Source organism: Homo sapiens, chromosome 3, assembly GCF_000001405.40.
Source record: "Homo sapiens chromosome 3, GRCh38.p14 Primary Assembly".
In the NCBI taxonomy this organism is placed as follows: Eukaryota; Metazoa; Chordata; class Mammalia; order Primates; family Hominidae; genus Homo; species Homo sapiens.
In genome coordinates, this window is record NC_000003.12 from 179,663,087 (window position 1) to 179,689,254 (window position 26,168).

A 26,168-nucleotide genomic window follows, 5' to 3' on the forward strand; every position below is an offset into this window, starting at 1 on the left:
CAGAATTCTTTTCATCTTGCAAAACAGAAACTCTGTACCCTTTAAACAATGACTCCCTGTTCTCCCCTTTTCTCAGCCTCTGACAACCACCATTCAACTTTTTGTCTCTAAGATTTGGCCACTCTAGGTACTTTATACAAGTGGAATCATGCAATATTTGTCCTTTTTGACTGATTCATTTCACTTGGCATAATGTCCTCAAGGTTAATCCATGTTGTTGTGTCAATTTTCTTCCTTTGTAAGGCAGGATAATATCCCATTGTGTGTATATACCGCATCTTGTTTATCCAGTCATCTGTCAGGGACACTGGGTTGCTTCCACCTTTTGGCTCCTGTGAATAGTGCTGCCATGAACATGGCTATCTCACTGTCTCTTTTAGCATCATATCCCATCAGTCACCAAATTCTGGTATATCCTCCTCTCTCCCTTGCACTGCTAAGGCTCGGGCCCTCATCCTTTCTCACCTGGACTGTGGCAGAAGCTTCCTAACAACCACCTTACTTTCCCTTCCAGTCTGTCACACTACACTCTTGGATATTTTTAAAATAGGGGTCTGATCATCTCATTTGCCCGCCTTGAAATCCTCAATGGTGCCATTCAGACTTTTCTAACATGGCACATCACCTCAGTTTACCTTGTTGATCCAGCTTTCCTGCCCCTCTGCTTACTTTCTGTCTGTCCCAAAAGACTTTCCATTCTCTAGGTGCTCCATGCTCTTGCCCCTCCATGTGCTTGCTCATGCTCTTGCGTTGGCCTGGAATGCATTCTCTCACCCTCATCCTCCTGGAAAAGCCCTGTTCGTCCTTTAAAGCCAGCTCAGATGTTCTTTGTGAGGACTCCTCCCATCCTCAGAAGCTGAGTTAGATATCTGTTTTCCTTTGCCTTCACTTTGTACATCTCTGTCATGGGTGGGATACAGATTGTGGGGATGTGGAATAGCTGAGGTCTTGGAGAATTAAAAGGAAAAGAGTAGAGAACTGAAAACTACACAGTTTGTGAACCTGTGCCATTAAGCCTGCATCTTTTCTGATTTTCTGGGTGTGTTTTTTTTTTTTTGGAGTCTTGGTCTGTCGCTCAGGCTGGAGTGCAGTGGCATGATCTTGGCTCACTGCAACCTCTGCCTCCTGGGTTCAAGCTGGGATTACAGGTGTGTACCACCATGCCCGGATATTTTTTTTGTATTTTTACTAGGGATGGGGTTTCACCATGTTGGTCAGGCTGGTCTCAAACTCCTGACCTCAAATGATCCACCTGCCTTGGCTTCCCAAAGTGCTGGGATTACAGGCATGAGCCACCGCACCCAGCCGCCAATATGATATTTTCATGTTATCTTATTATCTGAAACATCATAGGTTTGACCCTTGAAAAGCCAGGGAAAAGTGTCTCGAGTACTTGCTGAATGTTTTATATGTTGTGATTCTAGGGTGCTTGGTAAAAGATCCCACATTGGGCCCCTCAGGGAGATGACAAGAGGACTGGGATCTATGGTTGCAGATCAGGCCTCTGTCTGGTCTGTTCAGTATTGTGGTGATCAGTTAGGACTCCCCTTGTTCCCAGGCACAGGGAAGATGTGAACAGGAACACCTATTTTTAGGGCTAGAACAACAGGACAATGTAACAATGACAAGAATTTAATGAATCTGAATACGCCTCTGGACAGAGATGTTGCTTGAGGTGCAAGATAGTATGTGCCTCATGTGGTAAGATTAAAAAGGAAAGATGGTGCGTGGTGGCTCACACCTGTAATCCCAGCACTTTGGGAGGCTGAGGTGGGCGGATCACCTGAGGTCAGGAGTTCAAGATCAGCCTGGCCAACATGGTGAAACTCCGTCTCTACTAAAAATACAAAACTTAGCCTGGCATGGTGGCAGGTGCCTGTAATCCCAGCTACTCAGGAGGCTGAGGCAGGAGAATCGCTTAAACCCAGGAGGCGGAGGTGCAGTGAGCCAAGATCGCGCCATTGCACTCCAGCCTGGGCAACAGAGTGAGACCTTGTCTCAAAAGAAAAAAAAAAGATTAAAAAGGAAACATTCTGCTTTGTGTTAGTTAACAAGTGTTAATACTGACTTATGGCTTCCTGTGCACTCTGCACTGCAGTTGGTATTATAGGGGTAGAGAGGGTGTAAGTGGGAGGGAAACAGAGGACCATGGCAGGATCTCTATCGTAGTGGAGTGTGTATGCTAATTTCAAGTGTCTATTATGGAAAGTCTGGCATGAGGACATAACCGCTTGAGCTAACTCCAATCCGTCAAGTGTCTATTATGAGTCAAACACTATGCCAGGCACTTTTATGTACGTCATCTCATTTAATTATGATAGTAATTGGCTTACATGTTATAGTTACGATTTTGCCCCTGTTTTACGGATGAGGAAATGGAGAGTCAGAGAGGTTAGGTAATTTGTTCAAGGATTTGTTCAAAGATGGCTTCATGACAGAGGTGGTCTTTAAGCCCTGATGAGTCATGAAGTTAGACCCTGCAGCACTTATAGGATATTTAAGGCTTTTCTTTTTTTTGAGACAGAGTCTTGCTGTGTTGCCCAGGCTGGAGTGCAGTGGTGTGATCTCGGCTCACTGCCACCTCCGCCTCCTCGATTCCAGTGATTCTTGTGCCTCAGTCTCCTGAGTAGCTGGGACCACAGGCATGCACCACCATGCCCAGCTAATTTTTGTATTTTTAGTAGAGGCAGGGTTTCTCCATGTTGGCCAGGGCATTCTTGAACTCCTGACCTCAAGTGATCTGCCTGCCTTGGCTTCTCAAAGTGCTGGGATTACAGGCATGAGCCACTGCACCCAGCTGGATATTTAAACTTTAAACAGTGTGGTGCTTAAAATTTGTGAGAGGAGATTTTAGACCTGGGAATAATCAACAAAATCTAGTAGAGTTACTGGCGTGGACAACTGGATGGAATCCGAAGAGACAGTGCTTTGGAGGGGTAGGGGTGGACAAAGGTATGGAGTTGGGACCAACTTGGCTTGTATGTGAGATAGTAAATTGTCTTATGGAAGAGAAGATTCCTGGGGAGACTGGAAGGCAAGGTTGAATCCTCTGTGGGATGTGAAAGAGGTTGGTCTTGATAAGGTTAGACCTGAGGGACCAGCCACTTATGAGCAAGGGAACAGCATGAGGATGGTGGTCATTCCGGAAGTGGAATGAGGAATAGGTGGGAGTGGCTACAGGAAGCAGGGTTGAAAGTAATTCACATATTGTATCATTTGTGTAAAGCTGCTGAGTTGCTCTTTTGGAGGTGCCATTTGGGGCAGGTTCTGCCATTGAGTGTCCAGCCTGTTCTTTGGAAGAAGCCTCAGTTAGTGTGAATTCTCTTTCTAGGTCCCCAGTTTCATTGCTGGACAAAAGCTGATTAGGGCGAGTAGGCTGTGAGAGCCTCTAAGTCTTGCAGCTCCTTCACCAGTGTCTCGGAGCCCAGCACTTTGGGTCTTGCCACTGTTTTTGTCAGGGAGCTGTCAATCTGGAGTGGCCACTTCCCAGGGACTCCAGCTGTCCTTTTGCATTTGGGGAGTGGAGCTGGCAAAGCCTGCTGAAACCTCTCTCCTGCCCCGCAGGAAAGCTTGGCAGGGTGCCTGGCACAGGCTGCTTACTTGAGTGGGGCTGCTGTCCTTTGCCTGTCCCTCCTGCTTTCCTTGAATGAAAGTCTTGAAAAAAAGAGAAACTGCTCTTTTCCCCAAGCCCCCACGAGAGCATGTGCTTGCCGACAGCCGCCCACCTGGCTCCTGTCACCAAAACGACATCTGCTTCTCAGTAGCACCAGGCAGCCCGCAGGGGGCTAGACTGGCCTGGGCTCAAATCCACCTCCACTTACTACTTAGTAGCCATGTGACTTCAGCAAATGCTTTAATGTCACTGAATTCCTGTGAGCCTTGGTTTCCCCCTCTGTAGTAGTGCCTTACCTTGCAGGGTTGTTGTAATCACAGCTGCCCATTCAACATATCTTATTGCTGTCCTCTCTGGAACTCTCCTCTCCCTAGCTCTCACTTTTAAGCTAGTGGATCTGTAGCAGAGGTACTTGCCCTTTTATCAGTGGTTTAGTGAGCGGTTCCCTTCGAGAAGAAGATGAAATGGCATTTACGGAGTCTTGGGGTTGCCGAAGAGAGACATCTTTTACTCGGTAATTCTGCATAAGGCTCTCCCCAACAGTGAAAGCTTTTGCTGGCCTCTTTGATGGGAACTCTGTTCTGGGCCATTATTCATACTCAAATTCAGATCAGAGGGATGGGCTTTTATGGGTTAGCCTGGAAATTCAATCTTCATGTTTATCAGGGGGATTTCATCCTGAAGAAAATCATCACTTTTAAAAAATAAAATAAAAATAAGAAATGACTCTAAAAGGTGTACTGTTGACAAGGTGGTTTCACATTTTCTTTTTGTATGTGTAAGCCGGGAACTGCTGCAGGTGCTCAGTTGAGTGTGTTCGTATGCCGATGGTTTCCATGTTCCCCATTTGTCCTGAAACTGTTGTAGTAGCTGGACCTCGTGCCCTGCCCCTGGCCTTCCCCAGCTGCAGTGGGGGACAGCATCCTCATTGCTCAAAATACCCAGAAGAATGATTCTTTTTTTTGAGACAGAGTTTCGCTCTTCTTGCCCAGTCTGGAGTGCAATGGAGCAATCTCGGCTCGCCGCAACCTCTGTCTCCTGGGTTCAAGTGATTCTTCTGTCTCAGCCTCCTGAGTAGCTGGGATTAACAGGCATGCGTCACCACACCTGGCTAATTTTTATATTTTTAGTAGAGACGGGGTTTCTCCATATTGGTAAGGCTGGTCTCGAATTCCTGACCTCAGGTGATCTGGCCGCTTTGGCCTGCCGAAGTGCTGGGATTACAGGTGTGAGCCACCGTGCCCGGCTGATTCGGTTTTATACTTACCAAAAAAGTTAATAAATGATGCCTCAGTAGAACAGTAAGTTTATAGTGTAGTCAAAACTTAGTTGTTCAGCCTCTGCCTTTAGCTGTGCAGGACCAGGCTGTACAGCTCTAATGCGTAGGAGTCCTCTGCAGAAAGGGAGACACCCAAAGTCAGAGCAAGCTGGAGGAATCATTACTGCATTAACATTTCAACATTTATTTATTTATATTTTTTTTAGAGATGGGGTCTCGCTATGCTGCCCAGGCTGGCATCGACCTCCTGGGCTCAAGTGGTCCTCCCGCCTCAGCCTTTTGAGTAGCTGGGACTACAGGTGTGCACCACCATGCCTGCTGCTGGATTAATATTTCTGGTTTTTTCTTAACATTTCATGGCCACAGATGTTTTATCAGTGTTTAGCAGTAAGGCCTATACTCTCCTGGGATTACATGCGTTTGTTCTTTCCTACTTAGTTTATGTGAACACATTTACTTCAATGGATCTGCTGTTGAAACCAAGATTTTGGATTTTGCAACTATTGTATGCTGGTAATTCTGTTTTACTGGTGACCTGTTTGGTTATTCCCTGCTATCCAGTCTATTTTCTTTCTTTCTCTGTTTATTTGTTTTTTGAGACAAGGTCTCACTCTGTTGTCCAGGCTAGAGTGCAGTGGTGTGATCTTGGCTCACTGCAACCTTGACCTCCTGGGCTTAAGTAGGTCTCCTGCCTTGGCCTCCCAAAGTGCTGAGATTACAGGCATGAGCCACTGCGCCCAGTCCTATCTTCTGATAGTGCTTTTTCTCCATTATATTTCCCCCTTCTGTGTGCTTGCTGCCCTTGATCTGGAATCTTGTTTTACTTTCTTATTGTTCACCTGCTTCTTATCTATGGGTGATTAATTTGCTCATTTGCTTCTTATTTATGGGTGCTTAATTTTTGCATTTTAAAACTCTTGTCTGGTTTGCTCTAGAAGCGAGAATATACTGGAGATCTGTGCTCTGGTTATTGGAACACTCATGTCTTTCATTCGGACATGGAAGTACCTGAGAGGTTGAATTAATAGGTAGGTGGTGGCTTGATGAAAGCAAAAGTTGGGCAGAGACAGGAGGGTGCTCTTATGGACTCAGTAATGAATCAGAACCATTAGGAGTTGTCCTCACTTCCACCCTTTTCCACATGCCTCTACATCTAATCCACCTCCTGGGCTAGTGCGCTCTATCCTAAAATTATATCCTGGCTGGGCGCGGTGGCTCACGCCTCTAATCCCAGCACTTTGGGAGGCCAAGGCAAGCAGATCACCTGAGGTCAGGAGTTTGAGACCAGCCTAGCCAACATGGTGAAACTCCATCTCTACTAAAAATACAAAAATTAGCCAGCATGGCGGCACACGCCTGTGGTCCCAGCTACTTGGGATGCTGAGGCACGAGAATCTCTTGAACTCAGGAGGCAGAGGTGCAGTGAGCTGAGATTGCGCCACTGGACTCCAGCCTGGGCAAAAGAGCAAGACTCCGTCTCAAAAAAAAAAAATTAAATAAATAAATAAAAAAAATAATATCCTGACACTGCCCGTTTCCCTGTCTCTGCTGTCAGCCCCCTTCCCTCCTCCTCCTGCCATCTTCCCCAGGCTAAGCCACCATCTGGCCTTGTTTAGACAGAGGCTGTCTAAAAGAACTTTCTGAGATGATGGAATTGTTTTGTGTCTCAGCTGTCCAGTAAGGTAGCCACTAGCCATCTTTGGCTGTTGAGCACTTGAAATGTGGCCAGTGCGGTAGAGGAACTGAATTTTTAATTTAACTTAATTTAAATTTAAATATGCACATGTGGCTGGTGGCTACCATATTAGACAGTGTGGGTCTAGACTATAGCCTCTCAAATGTATATTTTCTTGACCCCCCCCTCCATAATTCTTCCACAGTAGCCAGAGTGATCTTTGAAAAATGTAGATGAGATCATGGCACTTCTCACTTTAGAAGCCTCCAGTGGCTTTGCTTCTGCCCAGTGTGCACCCAGCTCTCCCCTGGCGTGCCAGGCTTCCTTGAGCTGACCTTTGCAGCCCTCTCCTCCTGTACTGTCGCCACCTTTTTCTCATGCTTCTCCAGGACCCTGCTGGCTTCCTACCCTCAAAGCAGTAGCCAAGCCTTTTCTGGAGTGGGGACCTTTGCACATGCTTTTGCATCTGGAGAGGGTACTCTTCCTTCTTTGCTTGCCTGACTGCTCATCATCTTTGAAGTCTCAGCCTCCTAGAGACAACCCTGTCCCCCATCTGTATAAAGACCCCAATCCTCAGGCTCCTCTTATCACTGCTGGAAATTATCTTCGATGTCTCTTTCTTGCGTGTTGCCTGTCTCTCTTTACTAGGACTTAAATGTCATTAGGGCACCACCCTTGCTGGGTCTCTGATGTCTTGCATTGAGGGACTGAACACATTCCTTCTGCCGCTCACCCCCATGGCCTTCTTTTGCCTCTAGAGAAGACATCACGGCCTCACTCTCACGGCTTCTTTTCCATTCTCCACATTGAGCATCCCCTTTTGTAAACATGAGTGGGAGCCAACTAGAGTACAGTGTTCCCGATTAGTTTCATTTTTCCCAGTTGTAATCACAGTCTCATTTGCCTCCCTGAGGTTACACGCCGTATCACCTCTATTTTACTTGTTCCTGAATTTCCTCAGCTACAAATCTCAAGATATTCTCTTATTAATATCAAATTATTGGCCGGGCGCAGTGGCTCATGCCTGTAATCCAGCAATTTTTTTATTTTTTTATTTTTTTTGAGACAGATTCTCGCTCTGTCACCTAGGCTGGAGTGCAGTGGCATGATCTCCGCTCACTGCAACCTCTGCCTCCTGGGTTCTAGCGATTCTTCTGCCTCAGCCTCCCGAGTAGCTGGGATTACAGGTGTGTGCCACCATGCCTGGCTAATTTTTGTATTTTTGGTAGAGACGGGGTTTTACCATGTTGGCCAAGCTGGCTCGAACTCCTGACCTCAGGTGATCCGTCTGTCTCGGCCTCACAAAGTGCTGGGATTACAGGTGTGAACCACCATGTCCGGCCAATCCCAGCACTTTCGGAGGCCAAGATGGGTGGATCACTTGAGATCTGGAGTTCGAGACCAGTCTGGACAACATGTCGAAACCCCGTCTCTACTAAAAATACAAAAATTAACCAGGTGTGGTGGTGGGCACCAGTAATCCCAGCTACTTGGGAGGCTGAGGCAGGAGAAACCCTTGAACCCGGGAGGCAGAGATGGCTCCACTGCATTTCTGGGCAACAGAGTGAGACTCTCTCAAAGATAAAAAATTAAAATCTCAAGTTATTGCCACCATGCTTTACTTTGAGTAGTGGGAATATACAGCCCCCATAAAGCTGTGTGGTTGGGAAGCCAGGTTTGAGAAAAGGGAGCATATCTAAATACATTCAGTTAAAAAACTTTTATTTATATTTTAATTAAAAAATGAATCTATGTTCCTGAAGAGAAATTTAAAAATACCAGAAGAAAACAGGAAGAAAAAAAATTCCCACATTGTCTCCCCATGCTGAGATAACAACATACGCCAGGAAGAGTGTGCATGTCATGTATATTATAACATCATACACAGTGTTTTGTTACCTGCTTTCTTAGCCCAAAAATACTATGTACTTATTTTTCTATCAGTAAATACTCATCCACAAGTCAATTTTAAATAGCTGAAGAGTGTTACATTTCATGGAGGTACCATAAATTATTTGGCAAATCTGTTCTTGGCCATTTGGGTTACTTCTTTTTATAATTACAAGCAGCTCATTTGGTTAATTTTTTTTTCCTGTCCGCTCTTTTTTGAGTCGATGTTCTAGAAAATACGGTGTTCTGGTCTTCTTGGCCTTCCTTTTCCAAGGGTGTGTGAGTCACCGTCTTCCCGCGGTGTTAGTATGTGATTTGTCCTGGCGTGGATTTGTTGTGACTCCATCTACCTACATCATGTTTCTCTTTGCAGCAATGACCGCTTGTTTTCCACAGGAGACACTGTTCTGTAGTTATAAAAACAAGTGTTACGCAGCGACTGTTTCCTGAGCGCGTTGCTCACATAAGCTCATGCTCCCTTCCTGTCTTCCAGTGGGAAGGCTGGTTGCCAAGAAAACATCATCATAAACAAAGTTCTCTGAACACCTACCGATTGACAAAGTAGTGTATTTTTATTTAAAATGACTATTCACTTGCTACTCTGAAACATGTTGCAATCTTGACCTTTATATTTGCCACCGTTTTAACATTCTTTTAAACGGCAGGCAATATAAAATCAGTGACTTTGTCTTTGATGTTATTTCTGAATAGTACATAGAGGGATACAATACAAAGTAGCAAATGAATGGCTAAGTATATACTGTATGTATATTGAAATGCATTGAAGACAGGATTTTAACAATACATGGGGCTTCTAATGCTGCTCCTTTCTTTTTCTTTTTTTTTCTTTTTTTTTTTTTGAGACAGTGTGTCGCTCTGTTGCCAGTCTGGAGTGCAATGGCGCGATCTTGGCTCACTGCAATCTCTGCCTGCCGGGTTCAAGCAATTCCCCTGCCTCAGCCTACTGAATAGCTGGGACTACAGGTGTGTACCACCATGCGCGGCTAATTTTTTTGTTAGCTGGGACTACAGGTGTGTACCACTATTCCCGGCTAATTTCTTGGTATTTTAGTAGAGATGGGGTTTCACCATGTTGGCCAGGATGGGCTTGATCTCCTGACCTGCCTCCCAAAGTGATGGGATTACAGGCGTGAGCCTCTGAACCCGGCCAGTGCTGCTCCTTTCTTACCGTTTGATTATGGGGCTGGAGAAGTTGTCAAGGGAAATCATTATAGAGCCCTGTGCAGTATTTCTTGACTTTCTTCTGATTTTGGATGTCAAAGTCTTGCATCTTGGTCAAATTTCTGGTTAGTGCATCATAAAAATGATCATTAGAATCCTATTTAGCTTAGGATTGTGCACAGAACTGCACATTGGTCATTCTGGGCTGGGTGTCCTCTGAGCACCGGAGGCAGGTAGGATCCAAGGTGGGACGGTGGTGCAGAGAAGGCAGCCACTTTCCTGAAGAACCATGTGAGACTGGCTTGGTTACAGCAGGTGGGAGAGCTGGGGCAGTAGGGTTCAAGTGTCCAGGCTGCTAAGAGTGACTTCAGCCAAACAAACCTGAAAAGCTAGAATTTCTGCTGGTGCCTCAGGCTGTTTTTCTATGCGTGGCCATGAGTTTTATTTTGAGAATTCCCATTGTTTAGTCGTGCCAGAGACTTTAAGTGGAAGCTGTATTATGATGCATTTTAAATTCAGATCAGAAGGGCACTGAGGAATAGTTTGAGAGAGAGAGACCCAATAACAAATAGTGGAGACAAAAACTATCATTCATCCTACAAAAGTTTGTTCAATCCTGCCCTGTAGCAGGTACTGTTTTTGGGATTCAGTGGTGAATATGACACAGTTTTCCTGCCCCCCCTGCCCTGTACCAGGTACTATTTTTAGGATTCAGCAATAAATGATACAATTTTCCTGCCTTCAAGGAGCAAATGTGTATTTCAGCTTCTAAAGGTACTGGCGGCAAACTCAAGGAAGCCTGGGTTTCTCATAGCGATAGATTTCAATGAGCATGACACTGATTGTGAAATGAAAGCAGATTTAGGGTCAAGGACTGTCAGAAGAGGGGCTGAGCAGGGAGATGTGGGAGTAGTTCCTGGGCAGAGACTGGCAGAGTGTGGCGTTTGGGAAGCGCCTGCAGTGAGGAGGCATTGATGGGGCTGCTGTGAAGGCTGCAGGCCTGACCTTGTGTCCTGAAAGTCTTTTAGATAATGCTTTCCTGGCGGGTGAGACACTCTTAGACTTGGGCCGAGTTCACCTAGCCCTAGACAAGTGCTACCTAAAGTGTGTCAGCTGACTGGGCTGAGAGATGAGTACAACACTAAGAGTAGTGTTTCGAGATTTCTTTCTTTCGTTTTTTTCTTGAGACGGAGTTTCGCTCTTGTTGCCCAGGCTGGAGTGCAATGGCGCGATCTTGGCTCACCGCAACCTCCGCCTTTCGGGTTCAAACGATTCTCCTGCCTCAGCCTTCCTGAGTAGCTGGGATTACAGGCATGTGCCACTACGCCCGGCTAATTTTGTATTTTTAGTAGAGGCGGGGTTTCTCCATGTTGGCCAGGCTGGTCTCGAACTCCTGACCTCAGGTGATTCACCCGCCTCAGCCTCCCAAAGTGTTGGGATTACAGGTGTGAGCCACTGCGCCCGGCCTGTTTTGAGATTTGTATAGCAACTTGACATTGCAGCCACAGCCAAGTGTGTGACCAGTGGATCTGTTTGCCCAGGACATAGACCAGTTTGGGTTTTGTGGAACTTAAGGTGTGTGGTGAGTAAGACCATATCTGGCTGGAGCTTTGAACTAGTCATGTGCAGTGGGAACATGTGTCTTTCCTTAACAAATGAAAACAACACAAAACAAAAAACAAAAACAACCTCATCCATCGTGACAATAGTTGGAGAAGCACCACTGTAGACCAAGCAAGACTCATTACACACAATTCATAACTTTGTCTTTTTAAATAATGTTGCAGTATTTTCTTGTGCTTATATGTCACAGTTTCTTAACTCCTCTATTTGGGGCCATTGCTACATTATTTTATTATAGATACTGCATGTGTGAATATTTTTGCACAAATTAGTTTTTTTTTTTAATTCTTCTCTCGGGCCTGTACCCAGAGGGGAAATACTGTGCCAAAGGGTCACTGTTTTTTTGCTCTCTAGAAAGGCTGAGCCGATTTATATTGTAGGAGAGGATATACGGGTTTTCTCTGTGGCTTCAGGCTGTGCAATTTTAACAGTTTTTGCTGGTTTATGAGGCATGTACCTGTGCCTTGAGATTGTTTTAATATGCCTACTTAAGGGGGTTGTGAGGATGTGATGGTTTGATTTTAATATTTTCTCACATTGGAAACTAAATGGTTTTTTAAAAAATTCTTTCCTAGCACTTTGGGAAGCCGAGGCAGGTGGATCGATCACAAGGTCAGGAGATTGAGACCATCCTGGCTAACACGGTGAAACCCTGTCTCTACTAAAAATACAAAAAATTAGCCAGGCATGGTGGCGGGCGCCTGTAGTCCCAGCTACTCGGGAGGCTGAGGCAGGAGAATGGTGTGAACCCGGGAGGTGGAGTTTGCAGTGAGCAGAGATCACGCCACTGTACTCCAGCCTGGGCGACAGAGTGACACTCCATCTCAAAAAAAAAAAAAAATTTCTTAAGTTGAACTTGAATGTTGACATTCCCTTTTAAAAGTGGGCTGAATATATGAGTCTGCTCTTTTTAGTTTTGTAATTGCTTATTTCTTGGATCTATTTGGACTTTATTACCATGTTTCGTATAAGTTGTAGATCTAGGTTAATTTTCTTCTATACTGATGTTAATTTTCCTAGTAACTTTTATTGGTGATTCTTTTCTGCATTTTTGTATCTCCTGTGATTTGACATATATTAAATAGTTATCTTAGAATGAATATATTTGTGGGGCCTCCATTCTTATGCTACCATTAATATTTTAAAAAAATTTACCCAATGCTATATGAGTTTTATCTGTAACCTATTTTATTATTATTATTATTATTATTATTATTGAGATGGAGTCTCGCTCTGTTGCCCAAGCTGGAGTGCAGTGGCATGATCTCAGCTCACTGCAACCCCTGCCTCCCGGGTTCAAGGAATTCTCCTGCCTCAGCCTCCTGAGTAGCTGGGACTAGAAGCGTGTTCCGCCACGCCTGGCTAATTTTTGTGTTTTTAGTAGCAATGAGGTTTCACCATGTTGTCCAGGCTGGTCTGGAACTCCTGGCCTCAAGTGATCTGCCCATCTTGGCCTCCCAAAGTGCTGGGATTACAGGCTTGAGCCACTGTGCCCAGCCTGTAATCTATTTTAATTTAATAGAGCTGTCTACCACCATTACTTTAAAAAAAGTTTTATTTTGTATCCTGCCTGATATGGTTTGGCTGTGTCCCCACCCAAATCTTATCTTTGAATTGTAGTTCCCATAATCCCCACATGTCGTAGGAGGGACCTGGTGGGAGATAATTGAATCATGGGGTTGGTAACCCCCATCCTGTTCTCGTGATAGTGAGTGAATTTTCATGAGATCTGATGGTTTTATAAGGAGCTTTTCCCCCTTTGCTCAGCACTTCTCCTTCCAGCCGCCCTGTGAAGAAGGTGCCTTTCTTTCCCTTCACCTTCCGCCATGATTTTGTTTCCTGAGGCCTTCCCAGCCATGCGGAACTGTGAGTCAGTTAAACCTCTTTCCTTTATAAATTACCCAGTCTCGGGTGTTTCATTATAGTAGTGTGAGAATGGACTCATACACTGTCCTTTGATTCTTCCAGTTGCATTTCACTGTCATCTTGAACCTGGCCTGATTGCTTGGCTGCCCTTTTGTCCACATGGAGGCATGCGCTTTACCATGCTTTCTTGGGTGGTGATCTTAGTGAGAAGATGGCTGGTTAATGAGAGGATGAGGTTGAGGGTTTGAAACTGTGAGTCAAGAAGCTTAGCTTGATTGTGGGCTGTATACCATTCTCTGTGCTTTGGTCACAAGGAAATTGGGAGACAGTTATCCACATAGACTTTTTATCAGGATTGAAAGAAGCTGTTGGGAGCAGAGGCCATCGGGTGCTGACTCTGTATGTGAAAGACAGTGTATGATAGGACCAATATTTAGGTATTAATAGGGCAAGAGAGAAGAAAGCATGGATTATTAGACTGGGGTGTTTGTTTGTTCTATATGTGACAGGTTTGAAAGGGTTTTCTGTGTTAATGTTCCCTGAATTTTAAGAACTACTGGTGAATGTATTGGGCAGTGCCTCCCTGTCAGCACTGGCCATGTAAAGGGGCACACACTACCTCTGTGGCCAGCCTTGGTGTCCAGTGGAACATGCCTGTTGATGTTTTTTTTCCTCGCTCTATTGCGCAGGCTGGCGTGCAGTGGCATGATCTCGGCTCACTGCAATCTCTGCCTCCTGGGTTCAAGCGATTCTCCTGCCTCAGCCTCCCAAGTAGCTGGATTACAGGCACCTGCCACCATGCCTAGCTAAGTTTTGTATTTTTAGTAGAGACTGGATTTTACCACGTTGGTCAGGCTGGTCTCGAACTCCTGACCTCAAATGATCCACCTGCCTCGGCCTCCCAAAGTGCTGGAATTACAGGCGTGAGCCACTGTGCCCGGCCACCTGTTGATGTTATAATGAAATCCTTCCTTATGTGGCCATTCCTCTCTGAGTGTCAAATAATTTTTCTCTTTGATTATGGACTTCGTGACATTATCAAGCGGCTTCAGAAATTGAGAATTCATGTCTGGTATGTTAAATTTCTGGCCGGGTGCAGTGGCTCACGCTGTAATCCCAGCACTTTGGGAGGCCGAGGTGGGTGGATAACAAGGTCAGGAATTGCAGACCAGCCTGGCTAACATGGAGAAACCCCGTCTCTACTGAAAATACAACATTAGCCGGGTGTCGTGGCGCATGCCTCTAATCCCAGATACTTGGGAGGCTGAGGCAGGAGAATCACTTGAACCCAGGAGGTGGAGGTTGCGTTGAGCCAAGATCGCGCCATTGCATTCCAGCCTGGGCAACAAGAACAAAATTCAATGAGAAAATAAAATAAAATAAAATAAAATAAATTTCCATCAGATTCCCTAATAAGTAAAAAACTCTTGACAATGAAATTAGCAAAGACTATGATTACTTAAGAAACTATAGACTCTTGGATATAGAGTATTTCTATATTTTTCTTTAGAAAAATACTGTCCTTGAACATTTTTGTTCTTCTGATTGCTAATTTCTTGGTTCTTCTACTAGTTGCCTAGTGTTTTTTTCTGACAGATTAATATTTGTTACTCCCAGCCTATGTGGCTGTCAGACTCACTTATTCTTCCTCCTGCTTGTTTTCCCCAATTATAAAATGATTCAGATAATGAGATAATAATAATTAGCCCATAATGTATAATAAACAACATTTATGTATTGCCATATAGCACAGAAAGCACTTTGATATATTTCACCCCCTTTAAATTTCATGCAACTCTGTGTCGTGGGAATTATTGCTACGGCCATGTTTATAGAGGAGAACACTGGAGCTCAGAGCCCTATATGGCAGCCTGCCTTAGGCCAGAGAGCTAGCTGGTGACAGAGCATGACCTCTATTACAGATCCCATATTTTCCCCAGTAAATCTTCTGGTTCAAATTCATTGACTGAATTACATTTTATTAGAAGAGAATGGAACTTTTTAAAAAAATCACAATGGATTTAATGAATAATTGACTATTATAGTGATGCAGTATGTTTTTCTTAGGAGGTCTATCTATCCAAAGAACATGTTTATTTAGAAAACTCTTGAAAATACTTACCTAATCTGTTGATTAAATGCATGTAATGTGTTGTCTCTAGTTGAAGGACTTTTCTAATTTTATTTAAATGATTTCAGGTAAAGGCAGAAAAGTTATCCACAAGCACAAGCTATATTATAATTATAAGCTTTTTTGGATGCTATTTTTTTTTTTTGAGACAGGGTCTCTTTCTGTCACCCAGGCTGGATGGCACAATCATGGCTCACTGCAACCTTGACCTCCCTGGGCTAAAGTGACCCTCCCACCTCAGCCTCCTAAGTAGCTGGGACAAAAGGCTGGCTAATTTTTGTATTATTATTTTTTTGTAGAGACAGGGTTTCTCCATGTTGCCCAGACTGGTCTTGAACTCCTGGGCTCAAACAATCTGCCTGCCTCAGCCTCCCAAAATGCTGGGATTGGATGCTGTTTTGAAGTCAAGCTTTAAAAATTTCATTTGCAAGTGTTTGTTGCTAATGTCTGAAACTGCAGTTGACTCTGGTCTATTAACTTGTATCCTGTGATCTTGCTAAATTCACTTATTGCTCTTACTAGTTGTTATTTTCACTAGTGTGTGTAGATTCCTTAGAATTTTCAATATGGCCTGTACTGTCATTAGGAAATAGAGACCACTTTACTTCTTTCTTTGTGATCTTTATACCTTTTATTTATTTATTTATTTAGTTTGCTTATTGCAATGTATATGCTACAGTAGGAGGCACATACTTGAGTTAATGCTGTTAAGTGTTCACATTGTGAGAGGACTGTTTATATCCTCACTTAGAAATTCCAGATACAATGTTAGAGAATTTGATTATTAGAAAATTGTTTAAGTTAACAATCTTTATTGGAGTTTTAAACAATTATTGGAATTTTAAACAATTTTTTGGAATTTAAAAAATTTTATTGGAATTTAAACAAATTTTAAACAAATAAATTTTAAACAAACAAATTTTAAACAATTTTTATTGGAATTTAAACAAATTTTAAACAAAATTATTGGAATTTTAAACAATTTTTAAATATATTTGTAATAAACATCAATGTTTGTTTTGATATTGTACTTTGTGCTCTACTGAAATGCACTGTAAGGAATTTTGTAAGGTATTTATTGGCAATTTTGACAGGCATTCAAAAGTTAGTTTTACATTATTTTATTATTATTATTTTTATTATTTGGACAGGTGAGACTAACCATAGCTTAAGAAAATCCACTTCCTTTGAGGAAAGGTTGGCTAATTTTGTAGCCTAAGTTTACAGAAAAGCATGTTAAGCAAAGTGAGAGAAAACAAGAGATGAAATTAAGATAGAAAATCAAGTATCTAAAATTCAGACATATCCTTGACTGTTCATTGTAGCAGTATGTCTTTAACTAAATAATATTATGTGCTTTGAAATGTGGCATAGAGGGATAAAAGGAGAAATAGATTCAACTCTAACACTTCCATGCTGTGTGAACTTGGGTAAGTGACCTATCCTTAGTTTTTTTTTTTTTTTTTTTTTTTTTTTGATACTGTTAAGTAGAAATAACAATAAGCAACTTGCAGTGGTTAGCATTAGAAATAATATACATATACATAAGATGGGCATGGTGGCTCACACCTGTAATCCCAACACTTTAGGAGGCTTAAGTGGGCGGATTGCTTGAGCCCAGGAGTTTGAGACCAGCCTAGGCAACATGGCAAAACCCTATCTCTACAAGAAATGCAAAAATTAGCTGGGTATGGTGGCACGTGCCTATAGTCCCAGCTACTTGGGAAGCTGAAGTGGGAGGATCTTGGGCCCAGGAGACTGAGGCTGCAGTGAGCCGGGATCCTGCCATTACACTCCAGCCTGGGGAACAGAGTGAGACGCTGTTGAAAACAACAACAACAACAACAACAACAACAAAAAGAAAGAGAGAGAGAGAGAAAGAGAACAATATACATGAAGCATATCAGACATGCAATAACGTGCATTATAAGATTTCATCCTTTATTATGTACTTATTGTTATTGCAGATTGAGCATCCCTTATCTGAAATGCTTGGCACTAGAAGTGTTTCAGATTTTTAAATTTTTTGGATCTTGGAATATTTGCATTATATTTACTAGTTCAGCATCCCTAATCTGAAAATCGGAAATCCAGAATGCTCCAAAATCTGAAACTTTTTGAACAGCAACATGATGCTTTAACAAAAATGCTCATTGAAGCATTTCAGACTTTTGGATTAGAGATATTCAAGCTGTATTTATTACATTTTTTTTTCCCCCAAGACAGAGTCTTGCTTTGTCACCCAGGCTGGAGTGCAGTGGCACTTAGCTCACTGCAACCTCCACCTCCCAGGTTCAAGCGATTCTCCTGCCTCAGCCTACCGAGTAGCTGGGATTACAGGCACGCACCACCACGCCCGGCTAATTTTTGTATTCTTAGTAGAGACGGGGTTTCACCATGTTGGCCAGGCTGTTCTTGAACTCTTGACCTCGTGATCCGCCTGTCTCAGCCTCCCAAAGTGCTGGGATTACAGGCATGAGTCACCGTGCCCGGCGCTACATTGTTATAGTTTATTCATGAATACTGTCAAATATCATGTGTCACCAAAAGAAGGGAATAATATCTTTGAAGAACCCTTTCCTGCTAAAAGGACCTAAAACTTTGCATTCCTCACCAATGAATGAGGAAGAACGATAATAAAATATCACAGTGAAAATTTTGCCAACTTTCTTCTATCTTTCTCTTCCTTTGCTCTATTGTCAGACAAGCATGTTTATTTCCTAGAGCCTCTGAGGTGAGAACCTCACTGTGAACGTAGCCAGCATTTGGGAAACGATTGCTCGGCTGTCCATAGGAGCACTTGGAGCCAGGGCTGGGGTGAAGCCACCGCTGTGGGTGTCTGTGGAGCTGCCGAATAGTCATTGATGATGACTACAGTGTTGTGACCAAGCGAGTTACAGAGAAACGCCACACTTTGAGACAAATTAAAGAGTCCTTTATTAGCTGGCGACCGAGAGGCAGCTAACGCTAAAAATTCTCTCGGCCCCTGAGGAAGGGGCTAGTTTTGTTTCTATACTGTGGTCTAAATAGGCGAGGGGGGATTTTAGCTGAAGCAATTTTTACAGAAGCAGAACTGGCAAAAAGTTAAAAAAGTAATTGGTTACAAATGTAGTTACAAAAAATAAACAGTTCCAGGTGCAGGGGCTTAAACTATCACAAAGAGATAAATGCAGGGGTTTTGGGTGCCATCCACCGAGCGCGTCCTCAGGAGCTGGCGGTGCAGCTTGCCTCAATATCTTATCAGTAGGTACATTCCTGGACGTGCTTTGAGTCAGTTTACACTAGTTACGCCTTAAGGGAGGGGGGTGAAAGGGGGCTGCAAGTGAAGAAACTAAAATGGAGTCTGTCCGGCTCTCTGTCTGCTAGGACAGAGTCACTTGGGTTAAAACAAGGTAGGGTATCACAGCAGGAGCCTCGGTGGCCCTTTGCCAGGCCTCGTCTTCAGCGTTTGCCTTCCTTCCCTTTCCCTCTTTCTACATCTGACTACTGGGCTAGGTGTCGTCGGCTAATGTACTTTTTCTCTTTCTTCTAGAATTCTGAAGGTGGACTCTATGTATGCATGAATACATTTTTGGCCTTTGGAAGGGAACATGTTGAAAGACATTTTCGAAAAACTGGACAGAGTGTATACATGCACCTGAAAAGACATGTGCGAGAGGTGAGAGCGGCACTTTCAGAGAACTGGCCTTGATGTCTTCCCTGTAACGTTGTCTCAGTGTGCTTTCTCACGTGGAAATTTGACCATGCCCACATAACTTCCGATTCCCTTTGACGATGAGAAACAAAAACAGCACTGCTTGCAAAATCCAGAGAGTCTCCCAAACCTTATCGTAACCAGTTTTATTTTTCTTCCTCTAAACTTCTGATTGGTGTTTTTAAGAATACATAGATTGACTAATTGGAAAAAAAAAACCGAAACTAGGTTTAAAAATACAGAAAAGTACAGAGACACCCATGGATCCAAAAATCATAAAAAAAAACCATTTGAATGTTCCTGCTTCAGATGTGTTTTGTTTTGTTTTTTAGTATAAGAAATAGAGCTTCCTTAAAAATTCAAGTTCCTTTTGTCCCTCTCCCTCGCCAGAAGTAACCACTGCTTTGAACTTTTTCTGTGTCATGCATGCCATTATATTTTATTAACAAATGCATATTCAAGAACAATATATAGTATAACTTTATATGTTTTAAAGATGTAGATAAATGCTATCATACGCCTAACTATAATTCTGTGAAGAGTTTTTCCCCTCGGCATCCAAATGTTTCATTTCTTTTGGAATCTGTCCATGTCGAGATACATCTGGATGTATTTAATTCATTTCAATAGTTTGGTTTTTCATCTTATGAGTACCTTGTAATTTATTTTCTTCTCGTATTGATGAACATTTAGATCATTTCTATTTTTTGCTACTGTAAAGAATGCAGCAATTAACATTTTTATACACTTCACCTGGGGGTACATGTGCCAGAGTTCTTCAGGAAATAGATCTGGAAGTGGTAGTGCAGGCTCATGTTATGCTTATCTTTGTTTTTATTAGATAGTGCCAAGTCTCTCCCCAGAGTGATTGTACCTATTTACACTCTGATCTGCAATAATTATGATTTCTTGCTTTCCCACACCCTCACCAACCCTTGGTCAGAGTTCTGTTTTTGCCAAATATTTAGATGAAGTGGCATCTAAATATTTGGCACATCTCTTTGTACTTTCTATTCTGGTTTTTTTTTTTTCTTGTTGGATTTGCCTATTTATATTTTTGGCCTATTTCTTTATGGATTTATCTTTTTCTTATAAGTGTGATGAGTTATTTTTACATTCTGGATACCAAACCTTTGTTTGTTACATACTAGATTTCCTTTGAGTCTGTGCCTTACTAAATTTCCTTTGAGTCTGTGGCTTGTCGTTTTACTTTGTTTATGAATTATTTTGTAGAATAGAAGTTGTAAGTTTTGAATTAGTTAGATTTATTAAACTTTTTGTCGTATGAGTTGTGCTTTTTGTATCTTGTCTAAGAAATTGTTTCCTACCTCAAGGTCATAAAGACATTTTATACTAGTCTGTTTTCAGTTGCTGATAAAGACATACTTAAGATTGGGCAATTTACAAAAGAAAGAGGTTTAACAGACTTACAGTTCCATGTGGCTGGGGAGGTGTCACAATCATGGTAGAAGGCAAAAAGGAGCAAGTCACATCTTACGTGGATGGTAGCAGGCAAAGAGAGAGCTTGTGCAGGGAAATTCCCATTTTTAAAACCATCAGATCTCATGAGACTCGTTCACTATCATGAGAACAGTGCAGGAAAGACCCGCCCCCATAATTCAATCACCTCCCACCGGATTCCTCCCATGACATGGGGGAATTGTGGGAGTTATAATTCCAGAGGAGATTTGAGTGGGGACACAGCCAAACTATATCACATTTTTTACAGTTGTTTTTAAATTTTTATTTAAGTGTGTGTGAACGTGACTGTTTTAACATTTTAGGTCTTTAATCCATCTATAACTTATTTTTGTATTTGTATGAAGAATGGGAATCTATTTTTTCATATTGATAACCAGTTGTTTCACTATTCATAGAGCAGTACAACTTTTCCCAGTAATTTATAGTATCACCCTTTTCGTTTTATTTATTTATTTTTTGAGACGGAGTCTCTCTCTGTCACCAGGCTGGAGTGCAGTGGCGCGATCTTGGCTCACTGCAACCTCGGCCTCCTGGGTTCAAGTGATTCTCCTGCCTCAGCCTCCTGAGTAGCTGGGACTACAGGTGCGCGCCACCATGCCCGGCTAACTTTTGTATTTTTAGTAGAGACAGGGTTTCACCATGTTGGCCAGGATGGTCTCGCTATCTCGACCTCATGATCCGCCCCCTTCGGCCTCCCAAAGTGCTGGGATTACAGGTATGAGCCACCACGCCTGGCAGTATCACCCTTTACACACACACACACACACACACACACACACACACACACACACATTTTGTTTGTTTTTTGAGACATGGTCTCACTCTGTCACCCAGGCTGGAGTGCAGTGGCGCCACCACGGCTCATTGTAGCCTCAACCTCCTGGGCTCAAGTGATCCTCCCACCTCAGCCCCCCAAGTAGCTGAGACCACAGGCATGGGTCACAACATCTGGCTAATTTCTGTATTTTTTGTAGAGATGGGGTTTTGCCATGTTTCCCAGGTGACCATGGTGCTCCGTCTTGTGCTCCTGAGCCTAAGCAATCCACTGGCCTCAGCCTCCCAAAGTGCTGGGATTACAGCTGAGAGCCACTGTGCCTGGCTACCCTTTTTATATTTTAACTTGCTGTTCACATTTGGGTCTCTCTTCACTCTCTCAGTTGTGTTCTGTTGATCTTATTTGTCTGTCTCTGCATTGGTATGGCAAGCCTTGATATCTTTTAGTGCAAGCACTTTTTCCATGTTTATTTATTTTTCTTTCTTTTTTTTTTTCTGATGCTGTGGTTGAAGCCATATTTATTTTTTTTTCCAGAATTTTCCTGGGTATTTCTAGCCATTTATTTTTCTATATGGATTATGGAATTAGTTCATCTAGCTTAAAAAATCCTATTGGGATTTTGATGACAATCACATTGAATTTATAGATTAACCTATAATCCACATCCTTGTGTAAGCTCTATGAGGGCAGGGACTTTCTTTGGTTTTGTCCACTGCTGTGTCCTTAGCACTTAACAGTGCCTAGCATATAGTAGGTGCTTCATAAATATTTATTAAGTATTTAACATATCGTACCTCTTTTTTCACATTTCCTTTTTGTCATTCAATAATTTTTGTAATTTTTTATAAAGGAACTCATATTTTGTTAGATTTTTTTTTTAGTACCCTATAATTTTTTTTTTTAACCATTACTGCCATCCTTTATTTTTTACACATTAACTGGTTATTGATGGTATTTGGAAATATTGTTAATTAATAAATGTTGATTTTATATTTAGCAATGCTGTTCAACTTTTACTTTAGTTATAATAGTTTGTGCACGATTTTGGATCTTCTCAATGGTCAATGCTGATTTGAAGTTTCTCTAATTTCTCACCTTAGCCTTCCTAATACAGTCTCTGTTTAAGTTCCTAACAAAGAAGAGGGGGAGAGCAGGAGGAAGAGAATGAAGAAAGGCCAGAAAGTCAGATAAGGCATAAACTCAATGATCAGGTTCAAAATAATTTTGACTTGCTACTGAATGATTTCCACTCACTAATTCTGTTAGGTGGTACCTAATAATTCTTGTGAAGTCTGTTTTGTGACTTAATATAAAGTGATGAAATTTTAGAAAACTAAAAAAAAAAAAAAAAGAAAGAAACAGAGGCCCAGAGACTTAGTAACTTGCTCAGGGTCACAAAGTTAGCAGCAGAACTGTGGAATGCTGGTAAACTTGTACAGTTAGCTCTGCCTCTGGAATTTTGAGTTAAATGTTTCACTCTCTGACCAAAATTTCTACTCATTTTTGCTCTTTCACTCATTTATTCCTATTTTGATCATTTGTTGTAGGTCCTGAAGACCTTCAGGCCCGTGACTTGTTTAGCTTACTTCTCATGATTCATTTTTTTCAACATTCTGTAATCCACAGCACCCTGAACTGACTTTTATTCTCCTGTCTTGCCTCCTTAACTGTCCTCCAGAACTCCAAACAGTTGCTCCATTGATGTCACTGTCTACTTCCATGCACAGACTGCTGGAAACCCCACACTATGATGGGTTTGAGCGTGTCACATTTTGGGCCTTTCCTCTTCCATTGCGCCCTCTCCCTGCCCAGCAAACCTTCTAGTCTGTATCCTGTCCCACTCCCGTGAGTGGCCATTCTAACCTTTGGATGCTTTCCTTAAGCCTTTTCTATACATTCCTTGGTATCCTCATCATACTCATAAAATTATCTTGACTTGTACTTTGCAGGAAAAAAGGGAATCCCTGGACAGGAACTCACTTAACTTATTCCTTGTGTCCTGGAAGCTCACTCAGTGGCTCACACCTGTCATCCCAGTGCTTTGGGAGGCCAAGGTGGGAGCCTGGCTTGAGGACAGGAGTTTGAGACCACCCTGGGCAACATAGTGAGACTCCGTCTTGACAAAAAATAAAATAATTAGCCTGGAATGGTGGCGCATGCCTTAGTCTCAGCTACTTGGGAGGCTGAGGCGGGAGGAATACTTGAGCCCAGGAATTTCAGGTTACAGAGTGAGCTATTATCAGGCCACTGTACACCTGAGCAACAGAGTGAGACTCTGTCTCTTAGAAAAACAAAACCAACGCCACACAACCATCTTTCTAATTTGTGTCCTTCTTCAGTCATTGCATTCTTTTATTAAAAGCTTCTTTAAAAACTTTTCTGATCTGGTCTGTACTACATCTGCCACTAAGACTCAACATTGCAGTCTGATCTTGTTAATCCACTAACACTGCCCAGGTTGTCAGTCACCTCTTAGGTGTCACACTTGGTGGATATGTTTTAGCTCTAATGTTACTTGACTTTTTGAGTATTTGCATGTTTGAGCTTGTTTTCCTTTGGAACTGTTCCTCTCCTGTTTTCTTTGACACCATTCTTTCTTGGCTTCCGCTTATCCTTTCTCAGTTTCTTTCACCAACATCTCTTCCTTTGTTTACCTCTTAGTTATCGGCATTTCCTAGGATGCCATTTGGCCATCCTGTCTTCTTCCTCAGAAGGATACTTTTCTTCATCAGGGTTATCCATATTTTTGTTTAACCACTTTCTCTAAGCTGATGACATTCAAATTAATATCTCTCTGGAGGTGAAGATCTGATCATCTTATTCTGATCTGGATTTTTCTACTCCAGCATTTCATAGGTACTTCAAGGTTGGTGTGCCCAGACTGAACACAGTATTCTCTTGCTAAAAAATTTCCTTCCTCTTCAATTCTGGAGACCTAGATATTCTTTGATCTGCTTTCCCTCTGTGTCTTACTGGTGATCTTGTTACCTGGGCTTCCCAAATAGCTCTGAGGTCCACCCTGTCTTCTCCATTCCTGCTGTTCTTGTCTGAGTGCTCATTATCCTTAAAAGGACTAGTGCTGGCCAGGTGCGGTGGCTCACACCTATAATCCCAACATTTTGGGAGGCTGAGGTGGGTGGATCACCTGAGGTCGGGAGTTCGAGACCAGCCTGACCAACATGGAGAAACCCTGTCTCTACTAAAAATACAAAATCAGCTGGGCATGGTGGCGCATGCCTGTAGTCCCAGCTACTCGGGAGGCTGGCGCAGGAGAATCGCTTGGACCTGGGAGGCTGAAGTTGCGGTAAGCCAAGATCATGCCATTGCACTCCAGCCTGGGCAACAAGAGTGAAACTCTGTCTCAAAAAAAAAAAAAAAAAAAAAAAAAAGGACTAGTGCTGTTGCTTCCTGACTAACCTTCCTTCCCTCAAACTTGCTGCCTTCAATCCCACCCAGTCTGCACACTGCTCCCAGAGCCATCTTTCCAAATGCACATATCTATGGCACACTGGCACTTAAATCTCTGATGTTTCTCCCTCTTCTACAGGATGAAGTCCAAACTCTTTTGCATGTAATTATAAGGTGCTCATGATCTGGAGCCTGCAGCCTTTCTAACCCTCACTCTTATTTCACCAAGTTTGTGCTCCAGACATAGCAAATCACTTCTTCTTTCTGGAGCACACTGTGATTTTATGCTTTTGTGTATGCTGTTTTCTCTGTCTAGGATGTCTTACTTCTATCCCCACTCCCCTCTTACCTGTTTTACTCCCTGTAATCAGGATATCCATCCATCCATCCATCCGTCCATCCATCCATCCATCCATCCATCCATCCATATATCCATCCATCCATCCGTATATCCATCCATCCGTATATCCATCCATCCATCCATTCATCAATCCATCCATCCATCCATCCATCCATCCATCCATCCATCCATCCAACAAATATTTACTCAGTAGCTGCTATATGCCAGGATTGCTGCTGCTCTTACCAGCCCTGCCCACACCCTTTTCCTCAAATGAACTGCTCATTTCCTCCTTACGATATGACTGTGCCTTTTTTGAATCTTTCTTAGCACTCATCAGAATCTGTGGTACCATTTGTTTACATATATGCTCCCCTACTATGCTGGCTAGCTCCTTAAAAGATGGAACATGTCTTCATTCAGTTGGAAGTCTGAGCTCCAGCATAGAATCTGACACATGGGCACAGTCATATTTGCTGATGGAGGAGTTTTATTTTCTCAAACCTTGTTGATTTTGGTTGTTGACTGATGCAGAGGTGATGGTCTTTAGAAGGAGGTTCTACTTTTTTGCAAGTCTAAGATGTGAATCTCACAGTCTGGGACAGGCTTGTGTTCTAGCAAGTTTTCATGCAACCCCTCCTTGTTATCCTTCCGGCATCATGCAGGAAGGGAGGAGGCAGTGAGACTAAAATAATTAAAAGGACACCATACAATTCTGTAGAGAGATTTCAGGGGACCTCCAGGATTGTTAAAGGTGCTTTGCAATAGGTTTTATTTCATCCCTTTTTGAAGCAGTTAAGTGGAAAGGGGGAAGAAAGAGGCTCTGAGATAATAGAGGAGCGACTCTAAGAGAGGAGATGTGCATTTGGCATCAGTATTTGGAGGGACAGGTTTTTGAGAAAGTGTTCTGTAATGCAGATTCCTAAGATGTGAACTGTAAACCTGTAGTAGAAGCTGTAAAAACTTAATGTGAGAATCACAAGGATGAGTCAGCCTTCAAAGTCAACTATTAAAATGTGAGAAAGCAGACTTAGGACTCATGAGAGGACAAACTGAGAAGCAGAAAATGTGCAGCAAGGTCTCGACACCTGTGGCTGCTTGGAATGATGCGGCGTTAAACCCACACATGGTGGTCTGCTGGAAACATGCTTTTTTCTAGTAACTGAAAAAACATACACTGTGGAAATATGGTTTTGGCATTATACTTGAT

At 42.7% G+C, this 26,168-nt stretch overlaps 1 protein-coding gene across 5 annotated transcripts in view; it reads left to right on the forward strand.

The window, feature by feature from the left end:
* The window catches only part of USP13 (ubiquitin specific peptidase 13), a 136,362-nt gene that overhangs the window by 10,047 nt on the left and 100,147 nt on the right, over positions 1-26,168 (forward strand). For 3 of the 5 annotated variants that reach the window (NM_003940.3, XM_011513269.2, XM_017007425.2), the window contains exon 2: positions 18,792-18,917. The exons of the other annotated variants lie outside the window; for them this stretch is intronic. In NM_003940.3, coding sequence (NP_003931.2) covers positions 18,792-18,917 — 126 coding nt within the window. The remainder of the gene's footprint in view (positions 1-18,791; positions 18,918-26,168) is intronic. 5 annotated transcript variants of the gene reach the window in all.